We start from the raw sequence: 27,668 nt of genomic DNA, 5'->3' as shown, positions 1-27,668 counted from the left end.
AAAATAATGATTTTTAATCACCAACCATATCCGTTTTGGTAATCATGGTTTCATGTCTACCTGCTCCTGTATCATTCTTTTACTTTATGTCGTGGGATTGTGTAGGTAGCCATCATAGTCAAATGCCCAAATACTAGTGGTGGCTGTTCATGCAATGGTCATCTGAGTATATGGTGTCAGGTCTCTTTTGACATATCTGACATCTACTCATGGACAAAGCTGTTTACCCCTGTACCGTGGCTCTTGTATAAGGCACAATATCTGTCTAAGTAAGCACCACAGCATGGTTTTATTCTCCGAAAACAAGTTTGTGTGCTGTATCTATCTATGCCTCTTAGCTCCTTTGGCATAAATGCTACGTAATAGTGTAAACTACTTTTGTGTACCTGTGTAAGTCAAGATCAAACAGTCAAATATCACTAATGGCTTTCATCAACTTTTGTCTGAACATGTTACACGGTGGGTCCTCTATGCACCTTTGCCACCTACATTTGAAATAATCATTCATGTATTGAGATGTTTTGATCTTGTACTATATCCATCTATGAGGTCTCCACTTATGATTATTTTCTCATAAGATGTCTCTTGGCTCTAAGTGAGCCCTGGCTAATTTTCCATGGTTGTATGAATGTGCTTATGCCCTTTAGCTATGGTCTTCTGCTCATTCATCATGATTTGTGAAAATGCACCATCGTTGTCTACATTGTACTAAAAATGGAATTTTCTGTACCATGAATATAATTTTGTGCACCATGATTTTTTGTCATACAGTGTGTTTGCCTCCTTCTTCGTCCTCAGTATCTACTCCTATATATTGGATGTCAGCTTCTGTTGCAGAACCTGAGTGTGCATCGTGGTCAAATGCTCAGACTCCTGTGGTGGCTGCTCATGCACCACGGATGTTTGAGCATGTGCTACGGTGTCTACTTTTGCTACATTGCCGTCTGCTTCTGGACCAAAGCCATTTGTTCCTGTGCTCTGTGTTTCTAATCTTGTATCACATCCATATGAGGAAGCATGGCACCATCAGTGTATGTGCACAATGCTCACTGCTTGGACTTAAATCCCAGTTCTCCTATTTAATAGTTTGAAATTCTTGAGGAAGTCATTTCACCCTTCTGTTTCTGTTTTCTAAACTGTAAAATAAATAATAATACCTCATAGAGTTGTGAGGATTCAAAGATGCACATGTAGAATGCTTAGATTAGTGCCTGACACATATAAATGATAAGTATTTGCTGATATTGTTATATTATTTGTATTATGTCTCTTTATTCTTTATCATGACTTTTAGCTTGCATTCTGAGAATGTCTGGTTGTGTACCTTAGTCACATGCTAAATTACTGGTGGTGGCTGTCCATTCAGCATGGTCGTCTGATGTTATACCTTGGTTTTTCCTTTTGCACATATACCCTTTACTCCTTTGGCAAAGTCATTCATTGCTGTGTTGTATTTCATTATTCATCGTGTCTTTCTGAGAAAGAATAGCACAGTAGTTGACTACTATTCTATTTCCACCTGTACCTGTATCATAATTGATAGCTCACCTTTCAGTGTATATTGGTGTGTATTGTGGTTAAATTCTCAAACACCAGTGGTAGTTTTTCTTCCATGTGATCATTGGAGCGCATGTCATGGTGTCTCCTACCATTGCCATCTCCTCCTAAACCAAGGAATTCTTTCCCGTATTGTGGCTTTTCGATTATATATTGTGATCATCTGTACAATTTCAACTATGTGGCTATTTTCTTTGTGTCATGTCTGTTTTCTTTTATGTGTAAGTATTGGCTCATTCTCCATGGTAGACTGAGCACGCGTAAGGAATTTCTGCTCATATATTGTGTATGGGGTTGTACTATAGACTTTCGCTCATACACTATGGTTGTGTAAAAATGCAGTTGTCATTGTCTACTCCTGAACTGATAAAAGGATGGAATCATCTGTATCATGAATAACAGTTTGTTAATTTTGACAGTATCGTGTTTGCCTGTGCTTCTGCCATCCTGAATGTCAGTTCATATTGCAGGATTATCTGAGTGTGCCTGTGGTCAAATGTTCTGACTATTGTGACTGCTCATACACCAAGAATGTCTGGCAATGGACTATATATTTATTTATGCAACAGGAATTATTGTCTCTATCAGCAATATAGCCATTAATTCCTCTGTTAAGCATGTGTTTTTTAATTTACCATATCCATTAGAGGTAGCATAGCACCACTGATATATAATAAGGGTAGACTGCATTATATACAAATCACTTTTTTTTGTTTTTCCCTAAAATAATAACATCTACCTCATATGCTTGTTTTTTTAAAGTGCTTAGTGCTTGGTATGTAATAAGTTCTAAATAATTATAATTTTTAATAATATCCTCATCATCGTTATCATCGTTATTATACTAGAATTTTTTCTTCATTCTCTATCATGGTTGGCAGCCTATGTTCTGGGATTATCTTGGTGTGTGTTATAGTCTAATGGTTAAGCACTGGTGGTGGCTTTACAATGCACAAATGTTGTACAACCATTTGCCTTGATGTCATCTATAGGGCCATTGCCATCTGCTCCTGGACTATTTCATGCCATCTTATTTTGAAAATATTGTACCATGCCCCTCTCGGTAAGTACCAGTCTATGGCTTTCTTGACCTACCATTTCTAATTTTTCCTCAAACATACTTGTATGTGCATCACCATAGTTATCTAATGTGCTCACATACCATGGTTTTCTGCATAAGGCATAATTGTGTCTACTGTTGTAATGAGATAGCCATCATTCATGTTATTGAAATAAGTTTATATATCAAATTTATTTCATTTGAATTCCCTTTTTATGGTTTCCTGTCATTGCTGTCAGTTTCTGTATCACATCCTTTAGCTCTGTGTCCTTACTCTCAGCATACACTTTATAGTTATCTGATTGATGACTTTGACGAGCTGAGAGAAGAAGGCTTCAGACGATCAAATTACTCTGAGCTATGGGAGGACATTCAAACCAAAGGCAAAGAAGTTGAAAACTGATTGTATATTAGAAGTTCAAACACCAGGAATGTTTGTTCATACCACATTGCTATTTAAATATATACTGTGTTGTTTTACTTTTTACTATTGCCATTTACTTTGCCCCCAAATCTTTGTTCCTGTGTTGTATTTTTTTAATCTCAAATCTTATCCATGTGAACAAGCTCTAAACGATGTCTCTCTGCTCCTATATTTTTTTTTATCATTTACCATGCTTCCCTTCCATGTACCATATATAAAAAATCACAATTTTCTAAGCATGAGCCATTATAGTTTGATCCTGCACCGAAAATGCCATCTTCTGTGTATTGGACTATGTATTAGCTGATGCATGATGGTTTTTAGGTCCGGCACTGAGGTATTCTTCCCCTCCATCAGTGTTGTCTCCTTCTATATCATCTTCTCATAACATAGTCAAGAGCTCATTTTGCAGTTGTCTTAGGGTACATTGTGATCATATGGTATTCATGATCTCCTTTTGCATCATTGCCATCTGCTACATTCCTTCATATATCAATTACTGTCTGCACTTAGGCTGCATAGATGTGTTCTTGAATCATTGCTATCTCCTCTTATATAGCTGCTGTCATCTGATTATGCATCACGGTCAAATCCTCAGCCTCTAGTAGTGCCGCTTCATCACGCAGCATGGTTGTCTGGGAATGTGCCGTGGGATCTCCATTTGCATTAATTCCTTCAGCTCCTGGACCAAAGCCATTTTTAAAAATTCATGTTCTGTGTATCACATAACACAGTATTTGTGATTGCACCTGTACTATGTCCATTTATTTCTGCATCATGGCTACTTCCTCCTGTTTCGTAAGTTTCAATTCATAATCTGAGGTTGTTTGTTATGTATCATGGTCAAATTATAAAACGCTGTTGATGGATATTTATGTGCTATGGTCTTCTTGATCTATGCCGAGGTTTTCTTTTTTATACCATTACCCTCTACTTCTGGACCAAAGCTACTACTTTCTATGCCTTGTGTGTGTTTAAGTCAAGCAACACATATACTTCAGTAAGCAGATCATTAGTGACATCTCCTTCTGTCTTAAGTTGTAGAGTTGTGCATATTTACTATGTGTATCTATGCCTGAACTATGATTGTCTACTATAGTACTAAGAATGAAGTATTATAAGCCCTAGATGGTTAGCTCATATACCACATTTGCCTGCTCTTCTATTACCATTCTTTTCCTTTTTCATCTCCAAATGTCTACTGTTGCATGCCTTGCAGCAAATGTGGCAGAGTTGTTTGAGTGTCCATTATAATGAATTTTTCAAACTTAAGTGATAGCTGTTCATGTACCCTGTGTGCTTGAGCATGTATTAGTATAATCTTTTGCATGGTTGCATCTGATCCTGAAGCAAATCCATTTGTTTCATAATTTTAAAAATACATGCAGTATCTGCCTGAATAATAACCATCCTATAGTTGTGTGCTCCAGCACTATTATGACATGTTTCATGATTTAATGACTTCATATTATTGGTGAAAACATCATTACTTCACTATGGATATCTACTTATTTACCATTGCAAATTTAGTATTCATTCTAAATAGTAGTGTTCTTGGAATAGTGATATCTTCTCATAAACAGTGGTTGTCAACTTACGCATTGTGAATATCGGCTCATTTATGGTCAGGGTTATCTGAACACATGCAGGGTGAGAATCTATAGTTGGCTACTGATTATTATTATGGACCACTAAGTTATGCAATTCAATGGTAATGCTCTTAAGAATGTTTATTTGTCCACTTTGATGATCATACATAGAAAATACACCATGATCAGGTGGGCACTCATTGATTGAACGCTCCTGTGCTATAGTTATTCTCTTTGATAATATTTGTTTCAATTCCATTCTCTGTTTTCATTGTATTACGACATTGGACAAGACACTCTATCTCTTTGATTGAAAACTTATATTTCTGGGTTATATATCCTGACTTTCAAATATATTAATATATCATATACATTTTTCCACATAAAATAGTTCTAAAATGTAATTTTCACCTGTATAATATTTAGATGTATCAACGACCATTGTTTATTTAACCATTCTGTTAGTATGCACATTCAATTTATTTTTTAAAATTTAACTAATATACTGTTATATTGCAGAAAATATATTTGAACATGACTTTTTTGAATCTTTGGTTTTTTTCTGTCCAGTAGATTCCTAGAAGTGCAGTTACTGAGTCAAAGCATGGATTTTTTTTTACAGGCTTTTTATTCATGCTGCAAGATTGTTTACAAGGAAGGAAGCATAGATTTACGCTCACACTAGCAGATATATGGAATTCTTGTCTCGTCCTATCTTCAACAGAATTGTTTAGCATTTTTTTAAAAAGCTTTTGTTCATTTGATAGGTGGAGTGATGCCTTGTTGCTTTAATTGCATTTCTTCAATCAATCTTAAGACTAAGTTTTTAAGGATATATATCAATGTAATCAACAATCTGAAATTTTTATTATTCAACTGTGCATAGGACTTACTTTTCTGTGTTTTAGCTTAAAATATGAAACACTATATATGTAAATATAATTATCACACAAAGATGCACGCTGTTTTAGAATAATTAAGAAGTGAACACCTGTAGAACCACTAAGTCAACAGCTATAACATTGTGGGTACTCCAGAAGCCTGTAACGAACTTATTTCTAATTTCAACCTTTTCTTTCCCACTTTACTTCCACTATCCTTAATCTTACTTTTAAAAATAACTTTATTATATGTATAACAAAATACACTTTAGTTTTGCTGTTTTTGAACTTTATATGAATGGAATCATGATTTTCCTTTGTGGCTTCTTTATTATTATTATACTTTAAGTTTTAGGGTACATGTGCACAATGTGCAGCTTAGTTACACATGTACACATGTGCCATGCTGGTGTGCTGCACCCATTAACTCGTCATTTAGCATTAGGTATATCTCCTAAAGCTATCCCTCCCCCCTCCCCCTACCCCACAACAGTCCCCAGAGTGTGATGTTCCCCTTCCTGTGTCCAAGTGTTCTCATTGTTCAATTCCCACCTATGAGTGAGAATATGCGGTGTTTGATTTTTTGTGCTTGCGATAGTTTACTGAGAATGATGATTTCCAATTTCATCCATGTCCCTACAAAGGACATGAACTCATCATTTTTTATGGCTGCATAGTATTCCATGGTGTATATGTGCCACATTTTCTTAATCCAGTCTATCATTGTTGGACATTTGGGTTGGTTCCAAGTCTTTGCTATTGTAAATAGTGCCACAATAAACATACGTGTGCATGTGTCTTTATAGCAGCATGATTTATAGTCCTTTGGGTATATACCCAGTAATGGGATGGCTGGGTCAAAAAGTATTTCTGGTTCTAGATCCCTGAGGAATCGCCACACTGACTTCCACAATGGTTGAACTAGTTTACAGTCCCACCAACAGTGTAAAAGTGTTCCTATTTCTCCACATCCTCTCCAGCACCTGTTGTTTCCTGACTTTTTAATGATCGCCATTCTAACTGGTGTGAGATGGTATCTCATTGTGGTTTCGATTTGCATTTCTCTGATGGCCAGTGATGGTGAGCATTTTTTCATGTGTTTTTTGGCTGCATAAATGTCTTCTTTTGAAAGTGTCTGTTCATGTCCTTCGCCCACTTTTTGATGGGGTTGTTTGTTTTTTTCTTGTAAATTTGTTTGAGTTCATTGTAGATTCTGGATATTAGCCCTTTGTCAGATGAGTAGGTTGTGAAAATTCATGAGTGAACTCCCATTCACGATTGCTTCAAAGAGAATAAAATACCTAGGAATCCAACTTACAAGGGACGTGAAGGACCTCTTCAAGGAGAACTACAAACCACTGCTCAACGAAATAAAAGAGGATACAAACAAATGGAAGAACATTCCATGCTCATGGGTAGGAAGAATCAATATCGTGAAAATGGCCATACTGCCCAAGGTAATTTATAGATTCAATGCCATCCCCATCAAGCTACCAATGACTTTCTTCACAGAATTGGAAAAAACTACTTTAAAGTTCATATGGAACCAAAAAAGAGCCCACATCGCCAAGTCAATCCTAAGCCAAAAGAACAAAGCTGGAGGCATCACACTACCTGACTTCAAACTGTACTACAAGGCTACAGTAACCAAAACAGCATGGTACTGGTACCAAAACAGAGATATAGATCAATGGAACAGAACAGAGCCCTCAGAAAGAACGCCGCATATCTACAACTATCTGATCTTTGACAAACGTGAGAAAAACAAGCAATGGGGAAAGGATTCCCTATTTAATAAATGGTGCTGGGAAAACTGGCTAGCCATATGTAGAAAGCTGAAACTGGATCCCTTCCTTACACCTTATACGAAAATTAATTCAAGATGGATTAAAGACTTAAACGTTAGACCCAAAACCATAAAAACCCTAGAAGAAAACCTAGGCATTACCATTCAGGACATAGGCATGGGCAAGGACTTCATGTCTAAAACACCAAAAGCAATGGCAACAAAAGCCAAAATTGACAAATGGGATCTAATTACACTAAAGAGCTTCTGCACAGCAAAAGAAACTACCATCAGAGTGAACAGGCAACCTACAAAATGGGAGAAAATTTTCACAACCTTTGTGGCTTCTTGCTTGTTAATTTAATGTTAGGTTTGTGAGATGTGTACAGGTTGTTGCATGTAATTGTAGTTCATTCTGTTTCATTGTGGTATGGTATTCCTTTGTATGAATACAGCACAATGTATTCATTCTATTGTAAGATAGACCTTCAGATTGTTTCCAGTTCTGTTTTTACAGAACAGTGTTTCTATGAACATGCTTTAACAATTATCCTGGTGCATCAATATATGTTTCTTTAACATATATGTCTAACAGTAGAAATAGTACATCATGTATATGTGTATCATCAAATTTATAGTCTAATGCCAAACTTTTCTCCAAAGAGTTTGTACCATTTTATACTCCTACCTGAAGTGTAAGAGATCTCTTGTGCTTCATTATTCTTGCCAAACTTTGTATTATGAGACTTTAAATTTTTTTGTCAATCAATTAGTTTGTGGTGAGAGCTTATTTTCTAATTTCTAATTTCTAAATTTCTAATTTTCATTATCATGATTATTAATGAGGCAAACACTTTTTCTTATGGTTAATGACAATTTGACCTTCCTTTTTTGTGAAGTGCCTTTTTAAGTCTTTTGTCCATTTTTCTATTGGATTTTCTCTCTTTTTCTTATGATGTTGTAGGAATTCTTTGGATAATGTTTCTTTATCAGATATACGTATGATGTGTGACAAACGTCTACCATTCGGTATTTGTTGTTTACTCACTTTCTTGCATCTTTTAATGAACAGAGATCTGAATTTTAATGTAGTCTGTTTTAACAGTTGCTTCCTTTATAGGTTATCACTTTGTGTAAGTTTAAGTAATATTCTCTTACTCTGTGAAGAAGTTCATTTCTATTGTACAGGCTTTATCATTCTGCCTTTCATATTTAGATCTTCAATCCACCTGTAATACATTTTTGTATACTATGGGTAAGGTTACAATTTAATTTTGTATAAATTTTGAAAATAGCAAATTGTCCTACAACCATTTATTGAAAAGCCTGTATTTGCCAGAAAGTCTTTGGTGCTACTTTAGTCACAAATCAATTGTCTTATAAACCTATATCTATTTCTGAACTCTCTATTCAATGCCATTTGTTTATCTCTTCTGGCACCAATACCCTCTGTGCTAATTAATTTTTTTTAAATAGTCTTTTTTCTATTTCTCTGAAAAATGTCATTGGTATTTTGGTAAGGTTTTCATTAAATCTGTAGATCACTTTGGGTAGTATGGAGATTGAAAAACATTAATTCTTTCAATTTATGAACATGAGCTATCTTTCCATTTATTTGTGTTTTCTTCAATGTCTTTAATCAGTGTTCTATAGTTTTCAGCATACAGGTCTTTTACCTACTTGGCTGAATTTACACCAAATATATTATTTTTGTTGCTGTTATAAATGGGGTTGTTTTCTTGATTTTTCTTTTTGGGTAGTTCATTCATAGTATGTAGAAAGGCTCCTGATTTTTGTAAGGGTATTTTGTATCCTTCAACTTTACTGAGTTTGTTAATCAGCTTGGATAGGTTTTTCTTTTTTTTTTTTTTTTTGTGGTGGAGTCTGTAGGGTTTTCCACATATAAAAATCATGTCATCAGTAACCAGAGACAATTTCGCCTCTTCCTTTCCATTAAGAATGCTTTTTAACTCTTTCTCTTGCTTAATTGCTCTGGCTAGAAATTCTTTTACTAAGCTGAAAAGAAGTGGCAAGGGTGGGCATCCTTGTCTTGTTTCTGATATTAGAGGAAAAACTTTTAACTTTTCGCTGTCGAGAATGATGTTAGCTGCAGGTTTGGCATGTATGGCCTTTATCGAGGGTTTTTTTTTTTTTGTAATCAAGAGAGTGTTGAATTTTGTCACATTCTTTTTCTAAATTGATTGAGATGATCGTAGGGATTTTACCCTTTGCTTTCTTAATATGGAGTATTATAAATTTTTGATTTGCATATGTTAAACCATCTTTGCATTCTAGTAGACATAAATGCCAGTTGATCATGGTAAATGATTCTTTCAGTATGTTATTGAATTTGCTTTGCTAATGTTTTGTTGAATGGTTTTGAATCTATATTTATCAGGGATATTGGCCTGTAATTTTCTTTTCTTTTCTTTCTTTCTTTTTTTTTTTTTTTTTTTTTTGAGATGGAGTCTCACTCTGTCACCCAGGCTGGAGTGCGGTGGCGTGATCTTGGCTCACTGCAAGTTCCACCTCCCAGGTTCGTATCATTCTCCTGCATCAGCCTCCCGAGTAGCTGGGACTATAGGCGCCCGCCACCACACCCGGCTAATTTTTTTTTGTATTTTCAGTAGAGACAGGGTTTCATTGTGTTAGCCAGGATGGTCTCGATCTCCTGACCTCATGATCTGCCTGCCTCGGCCTCCCAAAGTGCTGGGATTACAGGTGTGAGCCACCATGCCTGGCTGGCCTGTAATTTTCTTTGTATGTGTGTGTGTTCTTGTCTAGCTTTGGTATTAAGGTGTTGAAAAAAAATCATTAAATTTATATGATACTACAAAAGATCCAGAATAGCCAAAATAATCTTGAGCAAAAAGAACAAATGTGAAGGCATCACTGTCCTTGATTTCAAAGTCTATTATAAAGCAGTTGTAATCAATCAAAACAATATGGTACTGGCATAAAAAGAGACACATCAACCAATGGAACAGGATAGGAAGCCCAGAAATAAGCCCATATGTTTATGGTCCTTTGATTTTTGACAAAGGTGCCAAGAACATGCAATGGGTAAAGGATGGTCTCTTTAATAAATAGTGTTGGGAAAACTGAATATACACATGCCAAAGAATGAAATTGGACCCTCATCTCACACCATATTAAAAAATCAGCTCCAATAGATTAGAGACTTAAACATAAGACCTACAACTATAAAACAACTAGAAAAAAACATGAGATGAGAAAAAGCTCTATGACAGTGGCCTGGGCAATACTTTTTTATCTATGACCCCAAAAGCACAGGCAACAAAAGCAAAAATAGACAAGATGCCATCAAATTAAAAAGTCTCTGCACAGCAAAGGAAACAACACAGTAAAGAGGCAACTCCCTTTATGGTAGAATGATTTACAATCCTTTGGGTATATACCCAGTAATGGGATTGCTGGGTCAAATGATATTTCTAGTTCTAGATCCTTCAGGAATCGCCACACTGTCTTCCACAATGGTTGAACTAATTTACACTCCCACAAACCGTGTAAAAGCATTCCTGTTTCTCCACATCCTCTCCAGCATCTGTTGTTTCTTGACTTTTTAATGATCGCCATTCTGACTGGTGTGAGATGGTATCTCATTGTGGTTTTGATTTGCATTTCTCTAATAACCAGTGATGATGAACTTTTTTTCATATGTTTGTTGGCTGCATAATTGTCTTCTTTTGAGAAGTGTCTGTTAATATCCTTTGCCCACTTTTTGATGGGGTTATTTGTTTTTTTCTTGTAAATCTGTTTAAGTTCTTTGTAGATTCTGGATGTTAACCCTTTGTCAGATGGATAGGTTGCACACGTATGTTTGTTGCGGCACTGTTCATGTTAGCAAAGACTTGGAACCAACCCAAATGCCCATCAATGATAGACTGGATAAAGAAAATGTGGCGCATAGGCACCATGGAATACTATGCAGCCATAAAAAACAATAAGTTCATGTCCTTTGCAGGGACATAGATGATGCTGGAAACCATCATTCTCAGCAAACTAACACAAGAACAGAAAGCCAAACACCGCATGTTCTCACTCATAAGTGGGAGTTGAACAATGAGAACATATGGACACAGGGAGGGGAACATCACACACCAGGGCCCGTTGGTGGGTGGGGGGGGTTAGGGGAGGGATAGTGTTAGGAGAAATACCTAATGTAGATGACAGTTTGATGGGTGCAGCAAACCACCATGGCACCTATGTAACAAACCTCCACGTTCTGCACATGTACCTCAGAACTTAAAGTATACATAATAAAAAAGAAACAAGTATCAATATGACTAAATAAATGCTTAAATATATTAAGAAGAGACAACCCCGTGAATGAGAGAAAATATTTACAAACCATGCATCTGATAAGAGGTTAGTATCCAAAATACATAAGGAACTCACACAACTCAATAGCAAGAAAACAAATAACTGGATCAAAAAATGGGCAAAGAACTTGAACAGACATTTCTCAAAAGAACATATACAAATGGCAAACAAGTACATGAAAAAAATGCTCAGCATCACTACTCTTCAGGGAAATGCAAATTAAAAGCATAATCAGTGTCTTAGCTAATTTTGTGTTTCTATAAAGGAATACCTGAGGCTGGGTAATTCATAAAGAAAAGAAGTTTATTTAGTTCACAGTTCTGTAGGCCGTGCAAGAAGCATGGTGTCAGCATCCACTGGCTGCTGGTCAGGGCTTTTGTGTTGTGCTGAAATATGACAGAGAAAGTCAAAGGGGAAGCCGGCATGTGCAAAAGGAGATCAAATCTGAGGGGTGTCCTAGCTTTATAACAATTCACTCTCCTAGGAACGAATCTATTTCCCCAAGAACCAATCCAGACTTGAGAGATAAAGAATTCACTCACTACTGCTAGAACAGCACTAAGTCATTAATGAGGGATCTGCCCCCATGACCCAAACATCTTTCACTAGACCCCACCTCCCAACACTGCCACACTGGGCATCAGATCTCAGTATAAGCTTGGTAGGGCTAGACAAACCATATTCATAACATAGCAATGATATATCACCTCACACCTGTAAGGCAGGCTTTTATAAAAAAGATGAAAGATAAGTGCCGGCATTAATACAGAGAAAAGGGAACTCTTGTACATTGTTGGTGGGAATGTAAATTACATTATCAAAAATGATACAGAAGTTCCTCAAAAAACTAAGAATAGAACTACAATATGATCCAGTAACCTCACTTGTGGGTATATACCCCAAAAGAAGGAGATCAATATATTGAAGAGATATCTGCACTCCCATGTTTGTTGCAGCACTGTTCACAATAGCCAAGATTTGGTAGCAACCTAAGTGGCCATCAACAGATGAATAGATAAAGAAAATGTGGTATATATACACAATGGAATACTATTCAGCCTTAACGAAGAAGGAAATCTTGCCATTTGTGACAATATAGATGAACCTGAAGGATACTATGCTAACTGAAATAAGCCAGGAACAGAAAGACCAATAGCACATTCTCTTTTATGTGAAATCTAAAAAAGTTGAATTCATAGAAGCAGAGTAGAATGATACTTACCAGAGATTGGGTGGGGTAGAGAGAAAGGAATGAAAAGTTGTTGATCAAAGGGTACGATGTTTCAGATAGACAGGAGGAATAGGTTTTGAGATCTATTGCACAGCAGGGCAACTGTAGTCAGTAATAATGTATTGTATATTTCAAAATGAAGGAGTAAATTTCAAATGTCTTACCATAAAAAGATGATAGGTAAGAAAAGTGATCGATATGTTAATCATCTTGATTTAATCATTCCACATGTATATGTATATCAAAACATCACATTTAAATACAAAAATTAGCCAGGCATGGTGGTGGGCGCCTCTAATCCCAGCTACTCAGGAGGCTGAGGCACGAGACTCGCTTGAACCCGGGAGGCAGAGGCTGCAGTGAGCCTAGATCGCGGCACTGCACTCCAGCCTGGGTGACAGAGCAAGACTCCATCTCAAAAAAAAAATCACATTGTACCCCATAAATGTATACAACAATGATTTGTCAATTAAAAATAATATCAGTCCTGATATTTGGTAAAGTCCTTTTGCCTTATTCTTCAAAACTTCAAGAGGCTATTGTTTGCTTTGCATTTCCATATAAATTTTGGAATTCCTTTGTCAAATTTTATCAACCAATCAAAAAATAAGCCCAAAGAAAAGGAAGATGATAGTAAATATCTATTATGTTATTTTCTATTTCAAAAATTTATCATCATATTTTAATTATCATCTTCTTTCTTTTGGGGCTTTAATTTTAATCTCATTCTTTCTGATTGAACTAGGTGCTTAGCTCATTACTTTTTTTTAAATCTTTTTAATATACGTGTTTAAGGCTACATGGCTTTCCTTAAGTACTGTGTAAGCTGTATGCCATAATTTTGATAGCAATTTTGTTATTGTACAGTTAAGAATATGTTCTAATATGTATTTTGATTTTATTTCACCATGAGTTATTTAGAAGTGTGTTTCTTAATTTTCAACCACTTATCAATGTTATCATTATCACCTAATTACTAATTTCTACCTTAATTGCATGTGGCAGGATAAGATATCCTATATTATTTTAATAATTGAAATTTGTTGTGATTTTCTTTATAGCCTTGTACATTTTTGTAAATATACCTAGTGAGATTTTTTAAATGTGTATTTTCTTTTGCCATCAATGGGTATGGTATTCTCCATATTTCCATGAGGTCAGATTTGTTACTCGATCTTGTTCAAATCTTCTGTATCTGTCCTAACTTCTTTAATCTCTCTAATACGTTAATTTCTGAAAGAGATATGTTATGATGAGAGACATCTATGTTTTGTGTAGTTTTGTTAATTTTGATTTATATATTTTGAATCTTCATTATTAGGTGTATAGAAATTTATTATATCTCCCTGGTAAGTTGAACCTTTTTTCTCATTACTTCTAGTAAAACCTTTCACATGAAAGTCTTTATTTCTTATTAAAAAATAGAGGATTTTTTGGTTAATAATTACATAACATATATACTGTCAACTTTTCTGTTTTCTTATGTGTTAGATATGACTCATGAACAATATGTAGTTAATTTAGTTTTAATCACTTTTAATCTTTCTGATAACTTTTTTATTTGCACCAGAGCCTTTAGTTCCTTTACATGTAAAAAATCGCCGATATATCTGGGTTTGAAACTATCATCTTCTTTTAATGCTTTCTATTTAGCTTGCCCATTTTATGTTCATTTTCCTTTTGTGTGTGTGTTTTTTTCATTTATTTATTTTATATTTGGATCGATAGCTTTAAAATCATTTTTTCTCCTCTTCTAATATAGAAGACATACAGTCTATTTTTATTTAGATTTAGTGGGTGTCTTAGTAATACACACATTTTACTTTCTAAAGTCTTTTTATATCTGGAAGTTGTATTTGATTCTTTAATAAAATCATCTAGTTTATTGTTTAAATATCCTGTACTCTGCAGATATTTTAAACTTCTTTTGGTGGAGGTCCTAAACCTTTTATATAATATGCACCTGATAAATTCAATATCTGAAGTATGGGGATTTGCTTTCTGCTCTAGCTGTTTCTGTTGTTTCTCTCTCATTGTGCCTAGATTCCTCGTTTTAGTGATCTTTCTCTGTATACCGACCAATGTCTGCGAAAAATTATTTATGGGGGTTTCCCAAAGCCTAATACAAAAATGTCATTTTCTAGTGATGATTTATGTTTACTTCTGCAGGTCACCTGAGGCAGAGTTTGCAGGTACTTTAAATTAAATTCATGACTTGAGATTTATTGGATCAAACATTAATGTGAATTTGAGTTGCAAACTTAAGAGAGTAAGAGAGGCCTGCTTGTGGTTTAAAACCTTTTGCAGGGGGATCGTTTTGTCTGTTTTATTTGTCTCAATTTGTCTATGCCCTGTTCAAACTAAAGCAACTCTCTTGCAGTCTCCTGGGGTTTGAAGAAGATACACAGGCATGCTTCTGATTCATCAATAATCTGAAATTGTAGCATGTGTTTGTGTGTATGTGTGTGCATGCATGTTGTCAGACTCCACACCACTTGAAAATTCTAGGCTTTGGTTTATGCACTCCTTGCTCTATGAGGCTGTCAAAACTACAACATGGTTTGGTAGCTCTGTATTTATTTTCTCTTACTTTTCCTTGGATTGCTGTTTTTGTTTTCTTTTTTTTAAAATTTCCTTAGGTTGTTTTTTTTTCTCTCTTATTTAATCATAAAGACATTGAGTAATGGCAATTTATTAATTTATCCATCTGTACAGTTTTGGGTTTATTCTCCCCAAAATAAAGTTTTGTTTTATAGTTTTGCTGCCTTAATTATTCTTGAGATGGTGTTATTTAGAGAACAAATTTCAATTTCTGTTTAGTCTGTTGTGTTAATTATGATGTTTGAATCTGTCTTCATATTTGTCAGCTTAGTCATTGCAAACTGAGTGCTGTGTTAATTTACATTAACACCCGATTTCTTTCATTTATCTTTTATTTCTAAGATTTTATTTTATTTAGTCTGCAGTATTATTATTGAAAGCAGAAGGTTTTATGAGTTGTTGCTAATAGTGGGGATGGATAAAGAATAGCAACTATACCTATATATACCTCACAGAAGAGTACAGTACAAAATATATTAATCATGGAATGACCACATACATTTTTTGCTAGTTCAGCCCCTAGGTTTCTAAATTACGGTGTTTATGTGACATTGGTTTGTCTTTTCCTAACAGTCTTTGGGTATTTTTAGAAGATGAAACATGTGTTGTATAGTACAAGAATGTTTATCTGAATCCATTCTCAATAGCAATGTATATAATCAAATTCCCTTTTAGACATTGGATTTTTGCCTTTTTTCCATTATTCTTGACAATCAAACTTCCTTCCACCCACTGTTTTCTGTTATTCCTGTCTCTCTTAATGAGAATTTCAGAGGTGATATATTTTCTGTTGTGTTAACTCTGAGGCAAGGAGCCCCAAATTAGAGGTATCCATATAGAAACCCACAAAAATATTGAATAGAAATAGACAGAACTGCAGTGTAATTAGATTGGTATCATTAAATTCAGTAAGGAAGAAGGCAGAATGTAGATGATTAAAAAATAAACAGAAGGCAATTAAGCTGGAGTAAACAATTATAAATTACTAGTTCAAGAAACTTGATTGATAAAAGAAAGAAGGTAACAGCTAGAAAGAAACATATTGGTAGAATTTCTCTTACAGTGGAAGAAACTTTATTATGTTTATAGTCTAAGAGAAAGGAGTCATTAGAGAACAAGAGATTTAAGATATAGGTGAGAAGGAGAGTCGATGGAAAGGAAAAAAGTTCATGAGGTCAGGAGCTTAGGTTGAGAGATTATCCTAAGATAGGGAAGGTTCACCTCATTTTCTGAAACAAAAAGAAAAAGTAAGGATAAATATAAAAGTGAGTTAATTTTGTAGGTTGAGACAAGCTGATGTCTTAAATTGGGTTTCACTCAAGCAGGCTCGGAGATTAGGATTCATATGAAGGTAGTTTATTGGGAAGTGTTCCCAGAAAAAAAAAATAAGAGTTTTGGGAAGTGGGGCAAGGAAGTGAGGGTGGCCAAGCAAGGGTAATGTATCAAGCAAAGTACCATGGAAACTGTGTGGGTCACACCTCACTGTTGCCCCTATCAGGGAGCTGCATTATTTGTACTTCTGTATCTGTCAGTCTTAGTTTAGGGCTGCCCTAGTTTGGAAACTCAAATTCTCAGGCAATTCTGATTGTCAGTGTGCACGGGCAAAAGTTAGTTTCAGCAACCTGAGGACAGCTCTAATCCTCAGACAAAGAAATGCAGATGCTGCCTTTTGGGCGGGAAGGCTCAATGGAGTCAGGATATGTGAAACTGGTGAAGAGATCCAAGGGGATATGAATGAGGCATTAATAATTAGCTAGTGTCTAATATGGGTGGTTTGTCTCTTCTGATCATCTTGACTTTGTACTGAAAGAATATACTAGTTTCCCTAAATAGGCAACTTGAGAAGAATGACAAAGGTTTAAAATAGTTGAGAGGAATAGGGAAGAGGACTGGTTTATGACAAATTGAAGGATTATTGAAGAATGCTGGTATTGGAAATAATGAATTTATTGTGGAATTTTCTTCAGCTGCTTTCATCAGTCTAAGACAAAACAGATTGTTTGTGGATTGATCCCAAATAGGGTTTCTAGACAAATACAGTGGAAGGTCATATGAACAAGGTGCTGAAAGAGTAGTCCAAGTAATTTACTTTGGATCCAGCCTTGAAATGAAAGGAAGTAACACTAGGCAAGTCCAAGAGCCTGGGTGACAATGAAAGGATCAACAGACTAGAACACTAATTTCAAAGAGCAAGTGGAGTAGAAGTAAAAGTTTATAAACTAGAAGAATAACAGAATAAGGTCAAACATCAAATACCATAGTTTAATATTTGTGATATAGGAGCAATTATGCATAAGATACAGGGTGTGATTGAATGGAAGAGAAAGTCATAGAGATTGTGCAGATCAAATAACTATGATAGATATATTATCTACACAAACAGTGAAATACTGAAAATGATAGAGGGATATGAAAAGCATGAATTGGTTATTGTAGCCTTGTAGTATAGTTTGAAGCGGGGAGTGTGATGCCTCCAACTTTGTTCTTTTTGCTTAGGATTAACTATTTGGGCTCTTTTTTGGTTCCATATTAATTTTAAAGTAGTTTTTTCTGATTCTGTGAAGAATGTCGATGGTAGTTTAATGGGAATATAAATTACTTTGGGCGGTATGGCCATTTTCATGGTATTGATTCTTCCTATCCATGAACATGGTCCTGGCACAAGAACAGACACATCGACCAATGGAACAGAAAAGAGAACTCAGGAAAAAGACCACACACCTACAATAATCTGATCTTTGACAAACTTGACAAAAACAAGCAATGTGGAAAGGATTTCCTATTTAATAAATAGTGCTGGGAGAACTGGCTAGCCATATGCAGAAAATTGGAACTGGACCCCTTCCTTATACCTTATACAAAAATTAACTCAAGATGGATAAAAGACTTAAATGTAAAACCAAAAACTATAAAATGAAGAAAATCCTAGAAGAAAATCTAGGTAATACCATTCAGGATATAGGCATAGGCAAACATTTCATGACAAAAACATCAAAAGCAATTGCAACAAAAGCAAAAATTGGGCCAAGCGCGGTGGCTCACGCCTGTAATCCCAACACTTTGAGAGGCCGAGACAGGCAGATCACGAGGTCAGGAGATCGAGACCATGTTGGCTAACACAGTGAAACCCTATCTCTACTAAAAATACGAAAAATCAGCCAGGTGTGGTGGCGCGTGCCTGTAGTCCCAGCTACTCGGGAGGCTGAGGCAGGAGAATGGCGTGAACCTGGGAGGTGGAGCTTGCAGTGAGTGGAGATTGTGCCACTGCACTCCAGCCTCTCCAGCCTGGGTGACAGAGCAAGATTCCATCTCAAAAAAAAAAAAAAAAAAAAAAGAAAAGAAAAGAAAAAATTGACGAATGGTATCTAATTAAACTAAAGAGCTCCTCCACAACAAAAGAAACTATCATCAGAGTGAACAGACAACCTACAGAATGGGAGAAAATGTTTGCAATCTATCCATCTGACAAAGGTTTGCTATATAGAGTCTACAAGGAATCTAAACAAACTTACAAGCAAAAAACCCCATTAAAAAGTGGGCAAAGGACATGAACAGACACTCCTCACAAGACATTCATGTGGCCAACAAACATATGAAAAAATGCTCAACATCATTGATCATTAGAGAAATGCAAATGTCCATCAATGATAGACTGGATTAAGAAAATGTGGCACATACACACCATGGAATACTGTGCAGCCATAAAAAAGGATGAGTTCATGTCCTTTGTAGTGACATGGATAAAGCTGGAAACCATCATTCTGAGCAAACTATCCCAATGACAGAAAACCAAACGCCGCATGTTCTCACTCATGGGTGAGAATTGAACAATGAGGACACTTGGACACAGGGCAGGGAACATCACACACCGGGGCCTGTTGTAGGGTGGGGGGATGGGGGAGGGATAGCATTGGGAGAAATACCTAACGTAAATAACGAGTTAACGGGTGCAGCAAACCAACACGACACATGTATACATATGTAACAAACCTGCACGTTGTGCACATGTACCCTAGAAGTTAAAGCATAATAATAATAAAAAAAAAGAAATGCAAATCAAAACTACACTTTGAGATACCATCTTACGCCAGTCAGAATGGCGATTATTAAAAAGTCAAGAAACAATAGATGTTGGCAAAGTTGCAGAGGAAAAGGAATACTTTTACACTGCTGATGGGAATGTAATTAGTTCAACCACTGTGGAAGACAGTGTGGCAATTCCTCAAAGATCTAGAAACAGAAATACCATTTGACCCAGCAATCCCACTTCTGGGTATATACCTAAAGGAATATAAATCACTTTATTATAAAGATACATACACGTGTATGTTCATTGCACACATGGGGAGGAACAATATACACTGGGGCCTCTCCACAGTGGGTTGGGGGAAGAAGAGCATCAAGAATACCTAATGAATTCTGGGCTTAATACTTAGGTGATGGGTTGATCTGTGCAGCAAACTATCATGGCACATGTTTACCTATGTAACACACCTGCACATCCTGCACATGTACCCTGGAACTTAAAATAAAAGTTGAAGAAAAAATAGTATACAGAAACGCCACAAAAAGATAGAAGTATGAACTGAGCATAGTTTCCGAATCAGTGTCGGGAGGCTTCAAGGAGGCAGACGTAAGATTGAAAGGCAGAGAGTGATACAGATAGGAGGCATGAACCTCAAATAAGAAGGACTGTGGTGCACATGCATAGATGAGAGATGGTTTCAACGTGGCATTGAAAAAATGAGATAGTTCTCATCTTGTCTCTCAGTTGCATAATATATGGGAGTATGCACATGTCACACTTCAGGGGAAAGTTAATGAAGTAGTGTCTATAATATAAATCCCAATTTATTTAAGGCAAAGAGAACAGAAAAGTTTTCCTTTAAAAAGTTGAGAGCATAGAATAATTTGTTTTCCATAAAATGAAGGATTGAAAGGGCATGGGGGAAAGGTTTTAGGAAAGTAGCATAGTCTTGAGATTATACCTCTGAGAAGAAAAGGATGCCCAGAGTTGTGTGAGCATGAACTCATGAAAAAATTCACTCTTTTTTTCCAACAAATATTTTATTGAGTAACAGTCATGTGCTAGGCTCTACTCTATGGCCCAGAGTTAGAGTTAAGTTCCTGCACTAATGAAGCTTATATCCAGTGGGAGAAATGGAAATAAGTAAGTACATAATGTAATTTTGTGTAGTTATATATCCCATAAGAAAGTGGAATTGGATAAGGAGGCAAAGAGATATATGGGAAAAGCATTTATGACAGAGGAAAGAGCAAGTACAAAGTCCCTTAAGGCTGGGTGTTTTCAAGGAGTATTGGGAAAACAAGTGTGAATTGGTATGAGTAGGGGAGACCGAAAGTAGAAAGAGGTGAGGTTTTAGAGGTAGCCAGTGGTCAAATAAAGTAGATTCTTATAGGTCATGGCAAGTACTTAGGATTCCGAAAATATCCACTAGGAAAGTTTGAGAAGAGAGTGGGTCTGACTTATATATATTTTTTTTTCTAAAAACCCCTCATTCTGACTACTGTCCAGAGAATGGACTATAAGGGGGCAAGAGTTGCAGCAGAGAAAGAAGTTAGCCATTCATTGCAGTCATGGGGGTGGTTTTGAACAGCTAAGGGGCAATGAAAGTATTGAGAAGTGGTCAGAGTCTGGGTCTGTTCCAAAATCAACAAGATAAGCTGACAGTTTGAATATAGGGCATGGAAGAGAGAAATCAAGGTATGGATATGGATCGGATAGGGATGGCTTTGATATGTAAGGGAAGAGTCCTTGGTCCCGTGTTCTTGTTTTTCTTCATTGATTCACTTTTTGGCTGTTTTGTTCACTGCTGTATTCCTAGAACTTAGAATGGTGCCTGGTACATAGATGATACTCCATAAATTTTGAATGAATTAATACTAAGAGTGGATTCAGTGGAGTGATAGATGAAAATACTTGATTGATATAGATAGTATGAGGGAATGATTGTTGAGGAAGTTGAGATAGAGATAATGATTGAAATGGGTTACCATAAAAGGCAGGCAGAAAAATTGAGAAAGGGTTGGAGGAATGTCAGGTCAAGGGATGATTTTTTTTTCAAAATGATCGATGATATTGCATCACTTTTATGCTGCAAGGAATGAGCCAGTATAGAGGGACAAACTGACAAGTGTGGGAGAGATGAGACAATAACCAAATAATACATTTGACCAGGAGACAGGAAATGGGATCCAGGACACATGTGGGGGTGCTTGCATTAGATAGGAGCAGACACTCCTGGTAACAGGGAAAAGGTTAAAGTATATGGCTGACATTCTGGTAGGTTGGTATAGTTGATATTAGGAAGGAGAGCGCATGGTCTTTTGATTGCTTGGTAAAATAAGAAGCAAAGCTATTTGCAGAGATTCTGGGAAAAGAGTTATTTCTTCTCCCAGAGAGAAAAGAAAGTAAAATATTATCTCTTGAGAGTGGGAGAGTGAATTGGTTTGGCAAGTGCAAAAGGATCGTGGGACATTGAAGTATGTTGAAGAAAATTTAAAGAGAGGCCAGTCAGGCATTATGCAGATTTTTCCAGATATATTAAGGTGCTTATTTGTAGATGGAGAGTTGGATTTGACCAAGGTTTATGTTTTTCCAGGCAGGTACAGTACAGTATGAGAGATACAAGTGTATTCAGGGTGTATACCAGACAATGATTATACTGATTTTAATTATGGACTATGTATGTTATCCAAGCAGGGTAAGAAAGGAAATGAGAACGTGAAGATGATGATGAGCAATTCTAAGATTGTAAGATCAGTAGATTAGAAATCCGTGGAGTGGGGTGGAATGGGTGGATGTGGGTAGAAGAATTGACAGTATGAAGGTGCTAGATGAAAAATGTTGGAAATATGTGGTCAGAGAGTGATTCAAGATCATGGACTTGTAATGACAAGTCTTAGGATATGGCCATGGAAGGGACAAATGGATTAGGATAGAGCTGAGGCTCATTGGAGGAAAAGAGGTCAAATAATAGACCTGTAGTTTACAGTGACCAAAATTTACTATATGTCAAGCTTAAGGCTAATGCTACATATGAATTAGATTATTTAATTCTTATGACAACAATGGATTAATTAATCCATTATTTGGATTAGAATATTGAGTCAAATAACCTGCCCAATTTCAAATTTCTATGTGGTATATCCAGAATTGAAACTAAGATGTTTTTGTCTTGAAAACCTTTATGAATGACAGTGCTTTGAGGCTAGGTGGAATTAGATGACCTTAAATGAAACTCTGGTGACAAGTTGTGACAAATGGCAGAGTTGACTTTGTAGTATCTGGGTAACAACATGTGGAATGACTTTGTTCAGGTAAAGTTCTGGCAGACAGTCCTCATGTCATCCAAACAGGGACATTTGTAAGCATAATGTCAGTATCTGGTGGTTTCTAGGTACTGAAATAAAGAAGTTTTAGGAATTCCAATAGAATAATTGGTCGTATTGGTACCTTGTACATAGCAGGTGCTCAAATGTGATAAAATGAATTTGTCTTTGGACAAGACTTATCAGAAGACTTATCCCAGTAGCAGGTGTTTAACTAGGCATTTTACGTTTGTTATCTTATATAATATTGACAGCCTTTACAAGATGGATGTTATCCCCATTTTTTATTGAAGAAGTAGGTCATTAAAGCCTAACACAACTAGTATTTGGTAGTGCCCAGTAACCTTTCAGTCTGGCAGGTTCCAAAGCCCATCCTACACCTTATCCTTCTTAACCAATTTTCCTCATTTAGGAATGTGACTTAGTTACAATACCATTCATTTATTCAGTATTTATTAAGTACTCATTATTTGTCAGATATTCTTCTATGCATTGGGCATATATCTTTGAATTTAAAAAAAACCAAAATCCTCATCCCCATTGAGCTTTTCTATCTGAGAAACAAGCAATTTTTCTTCCTTTTAGACACAAAGGAAGAAAAATAGGGCAGACAACTGTATAGGATGTATGAGGAATGTGTGGAAGGCTTGAAATTTTAGATAGGGTGGCCAGGGAAGCCCTCAATGAAAAGATGATATTTTAATAACACTATGAAGGAAGTGACGGAACAAATTATATGAAAATTGGATGGAAGAACATCCCAGGTAGAGGGGATAGCAGGTGCAAAGGCCCTGGTGCAGGAGCATACCTGACATATTTCATGAGCAGCGAAGGAGGCCACAGTGGCTGAAGTGGAGTGTGTGAGACGGGAGGGTAGTAGGGGATGAGACTAGCCAGCTATTTGGAGATCAGGTCATGTAGGACCTTGTAGATCATATATTTATTTATTTATTTATTAATTGACAGATAAAAATTGCATGCATTTACCATGTACAACATGATGTTTCAAGGTATATACACATTGTGGAATGACTAAATCCAGCTAATTAGCATATGCATTCTCTCATGTAGTTATAATTTTTATGGTGACACATACAAGGGGCCAATAGGTATATGATAAAATTCTCAATATCACTAATCTTAAAGGAAATGTAAATCACCTCACACCTGTTAGACTGGGCATTATCAAAAAGACCAATCATGTTAGAGAGGATGTGGAGAAAAGGGACCTTCACACACTGTTGGTGGGAATGCAAATTAGCACAGCCATTATGGAAAACAATGTGGAGGTCTCTCAAAAAAAATTAAAAATAGGGCCTAGCGCGGTGGCTTACGCCTGTAATCCCAGCACTTTGGGAGGCCGAGATGGGCGGATCACAAGGTCAGGAGATCGAGACAATCCTGGCTAACACGGTGAAACCCCGTCTCTACTACAAATACAAAAAATTAGCTGGGCGTGGTGGCCGGTGCCTGTAGTCCCAGCTACTCGGGAGGCTGAGGCAGGAGAATGGTGTGAACCCAGGAGGCAGAGCTTGCAGTGAGCCGAGATCACGCCACTGCACTCCAGCCTGGGCGACAGAGCGAGACTCTGTCTCAAAAAAAAAAAAAAAAAAAAAAGAAAAAAAATTAAAAATAGAGTTACATGATTCAGCAATCTCACTACTGGTTATATATCCAAAGGATATTAAATTAGTATGTTGAAGAGATATATGCACTTCCATGTTAATGCAGCGTTATTCACAATAACCAAGATATGAAATCAACTTAAATGTCCATTAATGCATTAATGGATAAAGAAAATGTGGTATACATACACAATGGAATATGATTCAGCCTTCAAAAACAGTGAAATCTTGTCATTTGTGACAACATGGATGAACCTATAGTACATTATGTTAAGTGAAATAAGGCATACAGAGAAAGACAGATACCTCATGATGCCACTTACATGTGGATTAATCTAAAAAAGGTGATTTCACAGAAGCAGAGAGTAGAATGGTGGTTACCAGGGGCTGGAAGGTATGGTCTGGGGTGGGTAGATGTTGGCCCAAGGATACAAAATTTCAGTTATATAGGAGGAATAAGTCCAAGAGATTTCTTGTACAACATGGTGACTAGAGTTAATAATATAATATATTCTCAAAAAATGCTAAGAGACTGAGGCTTTTGAAATGGGAAGAAATGGGAGGATTATGAGCAGGGGGAAGAAATTATCTGCCTTAGCACTTTAAAAGTTCCCTCTGCCCACTTTGTAGGGAACAGACTCTAGGGGAGCAAGGACAGAGGCAGCAAAACCAGTTAAGAAGCTTTTACAATGATCTTGACAAGAGATGACAAGCTAGAGTGGTAGCAACAGAGGTAATGATCAATGGCTTTAATTTGGATATATTTCCTTTTGAATGGAATGCCAATGAGACTTGTTAATAGATCAGATGTGTGGTTTGAACGTTAAAGGGGAGTCAAGAATGACATTAGAGTTTTAATCAGAGCAAATGGAAGTGCAGAGGAGTCACTATTACTTGAGATGGGAAATACTGCACAGGACCAGGTCTATATATGTGTGTGGGGGTGGATATCTGAACTTCATATCTGAAAATGTTATGTTTAAGATGCCTCTCAGACATTTAGGTACAGAGTTTTGTGAGAGGTATCTTAAACCTAACCTGGGTTTAAGTTTTACTTATGAGTTACGATATGAGTTTAAGATATGTGTTATCTCCTGGAACCCATATCTAGATACATATATGGATTCGAGGTAATATCTGGAATGAAGATATTAATTTGCAAGTCATCAGTTTATAAATGATATTTTCGTCTATTTGTTTGTTCCTTGTACCTTCCTTTAGCTCTTTAGTAGGGTGAATTGGTTGGTAATCATTTGCTAATTTGGCCATGCAATTACATATTATAATGGCCTGAGCACGTGTCATGATTATGTGTTCATGTATCATGGATAATCTCTTCTAACACCATGATTATCTGAGTTTGCACAAGAGTTGTCTCCTCCTGTTTCATAGCCAATCTGCTCCTGCCAAAGGCATCTGCATTTGTGCCATGGTTGACTGTAAACTCACAGGACATTTTTTTTTTATGTACTGTACTTATATAAGCATACACTATGGTTGTCTACTTTTGCAACATAGCCTGGCTTCTTGATTAAAATCAGCAATAGGTTTTACCTTCTGCTTGTACATCATGGTTGTCTGAATATTCGTATGATGTTCCTTCACTGTAATTTTCATTTTATTCACCATGGATATGTGCGTTATATTTGTGTGTTCGTACACTACAAATAGCTATTTATTCACTGTCATCATCATTACCCAAAGGATATCAATTCTTCACTATGGTCACTTGCAACTGTATCTTACCTTTCTGCTACAGTGAAAAATTTTTGACCATGTCTGCCTACTCATGGACCATGACCTTTTGTGTTCCTGCACCATGGTAATCTAATTCCATAGCACTTCAGTCTGCTCCTAAACCATTTCACTTAATTCCTATAGTATGGTTGCTATGATACATATATTCTGTGTGCATTTATCATGGTTAAGAATTGATGTACCAAATGCTTCTTCACATGTATCATGTTTGTCTATGCATATACTGTATTTGCCTCCAGCCACATGGATGTGTGATCATTTTTGAAGGCTCTTTGTTTCACTGTCACAGACATTTTATTTAGTTATGATTTCATGTAATGCTGTTGTCTTTTTTATGTATCATAGTATATGTCTTAGTTTTCTCTTTCCAAATCATGGGCATTTAATTCTATGTAATTGCCATCTATTCTTAATATGATAGTTTGCTGCTTATCTACCATGATAATTTGAACATAACCCATAGTGATATAGTAGAATAGCATAGCTGAACACACACTATGGATCTCTTTGTTTACACAGCATGGCCATCTTCTCCTACATCCAGGATTGTTACTCATGGACTCATGTTTTCTAAGCATGCATCATGGCTATGTCTTATGTTCCATGGATTATTTCTATGATTTGAACTTCATATCCTAGCCCAAGTGTCTCTGTTCCTGTAGAGTAGTTGTCAATTCATGTATCGTGATTATCTGAACATTAATTCTTGTCATATGATTACACAACATTAAGGTCTGCTAAAGCACTGTGAATGTTTGAGCGTATATCATGGTTACTGCCCTTACCATGGAAGTTACTTATGCTTGGAGTTGTCTGATCATGCACTATCTTTTCTTACTCATATACTATGGTTTTCTGAACCGTACCATTCCTGTATACTCCTGTAAAATGTCCATCAACTCTTTTATTGTTCATGAAGCATGGATGTCACAGCTCTTATATTAGGTTGACCATAAGAAATTGCTTTCTTTGATAAAACCAAAATTGTGAAATATTGGCAATTTCATATGGTGCAATCTAATACTATGATTATCTCTGTCTCTAATGTTGACACTTCATCATGTCAGAAGTCTGTCTTCTCCATTGTTGTAGTTTTTCAAATGCCTATACCAGATTCATGAAGACAGCTTAATATAGATCCAGTGGCTGCTTTTTTGAGGCGTGTGGGGTGAATTTAAAAGGCCTTTTGTTCTTAATCTCACCAACCAGAATAGCTCCTTAATGTGTATCTGTTTTACATATTGGTCTCTTGTATAAGCTTTCTTGGAAAAAAAACCAGTTATATATCCCTCCATTTTCTCTGAAAATTAATTCACTGATATGACTGAAAAAGGGTATGTTGTTGGGTCAGAGTTAGGTCTCCTTCAAGTTCTCAGTGTCTCATAATCAAAGAAGCCACACAAATTAGAGGTAGCAAGTAACCATCACTTTATTGGTTGCTTTCTTAACCCCATGTCTT

The 27,668-nt window shown here is 36.2% G+C and overlaps 1 protein-coding gene and 1 non-coding gene across 3 annotated transcripts in view; both read left to right on the top strand.

The window, feature by feature from the left end:
• GABRA3 (gamma-aminobutyric acid type A receptor subunit alpha3) overlaps positions 1-27,668 on the top strand; it is a 285,082-nt gene that overhangs the window by 58,171 nt on the left and 199,243 nt on the right. The window lies entirely within an intron of this gene.
• On the top strand, positions 846-926 carry MIR105-1 (microRNA 105-1). The gene has a single exon (NR_029521.1). It is a non-coding gene; the product is annotated as a microRNA 105-1 (primary transcript).

Source organism: Homo sapiens, chromosome X (assembly GCF_000001405.40).
Source record: "Homo sapiens chromosome X, GRCh38.p14 Primary Assembly".
Taxonomy (NCBI): Eukaryota; Metazoa; Chordata; class Mammalia; order Primates; family Hominidae; genus Homo; species Homo sapiens.
Note: the sequence above shows the minus strand (reverse complement) of the source record. Positions and strands in the feature narration are given on the sequence as shown.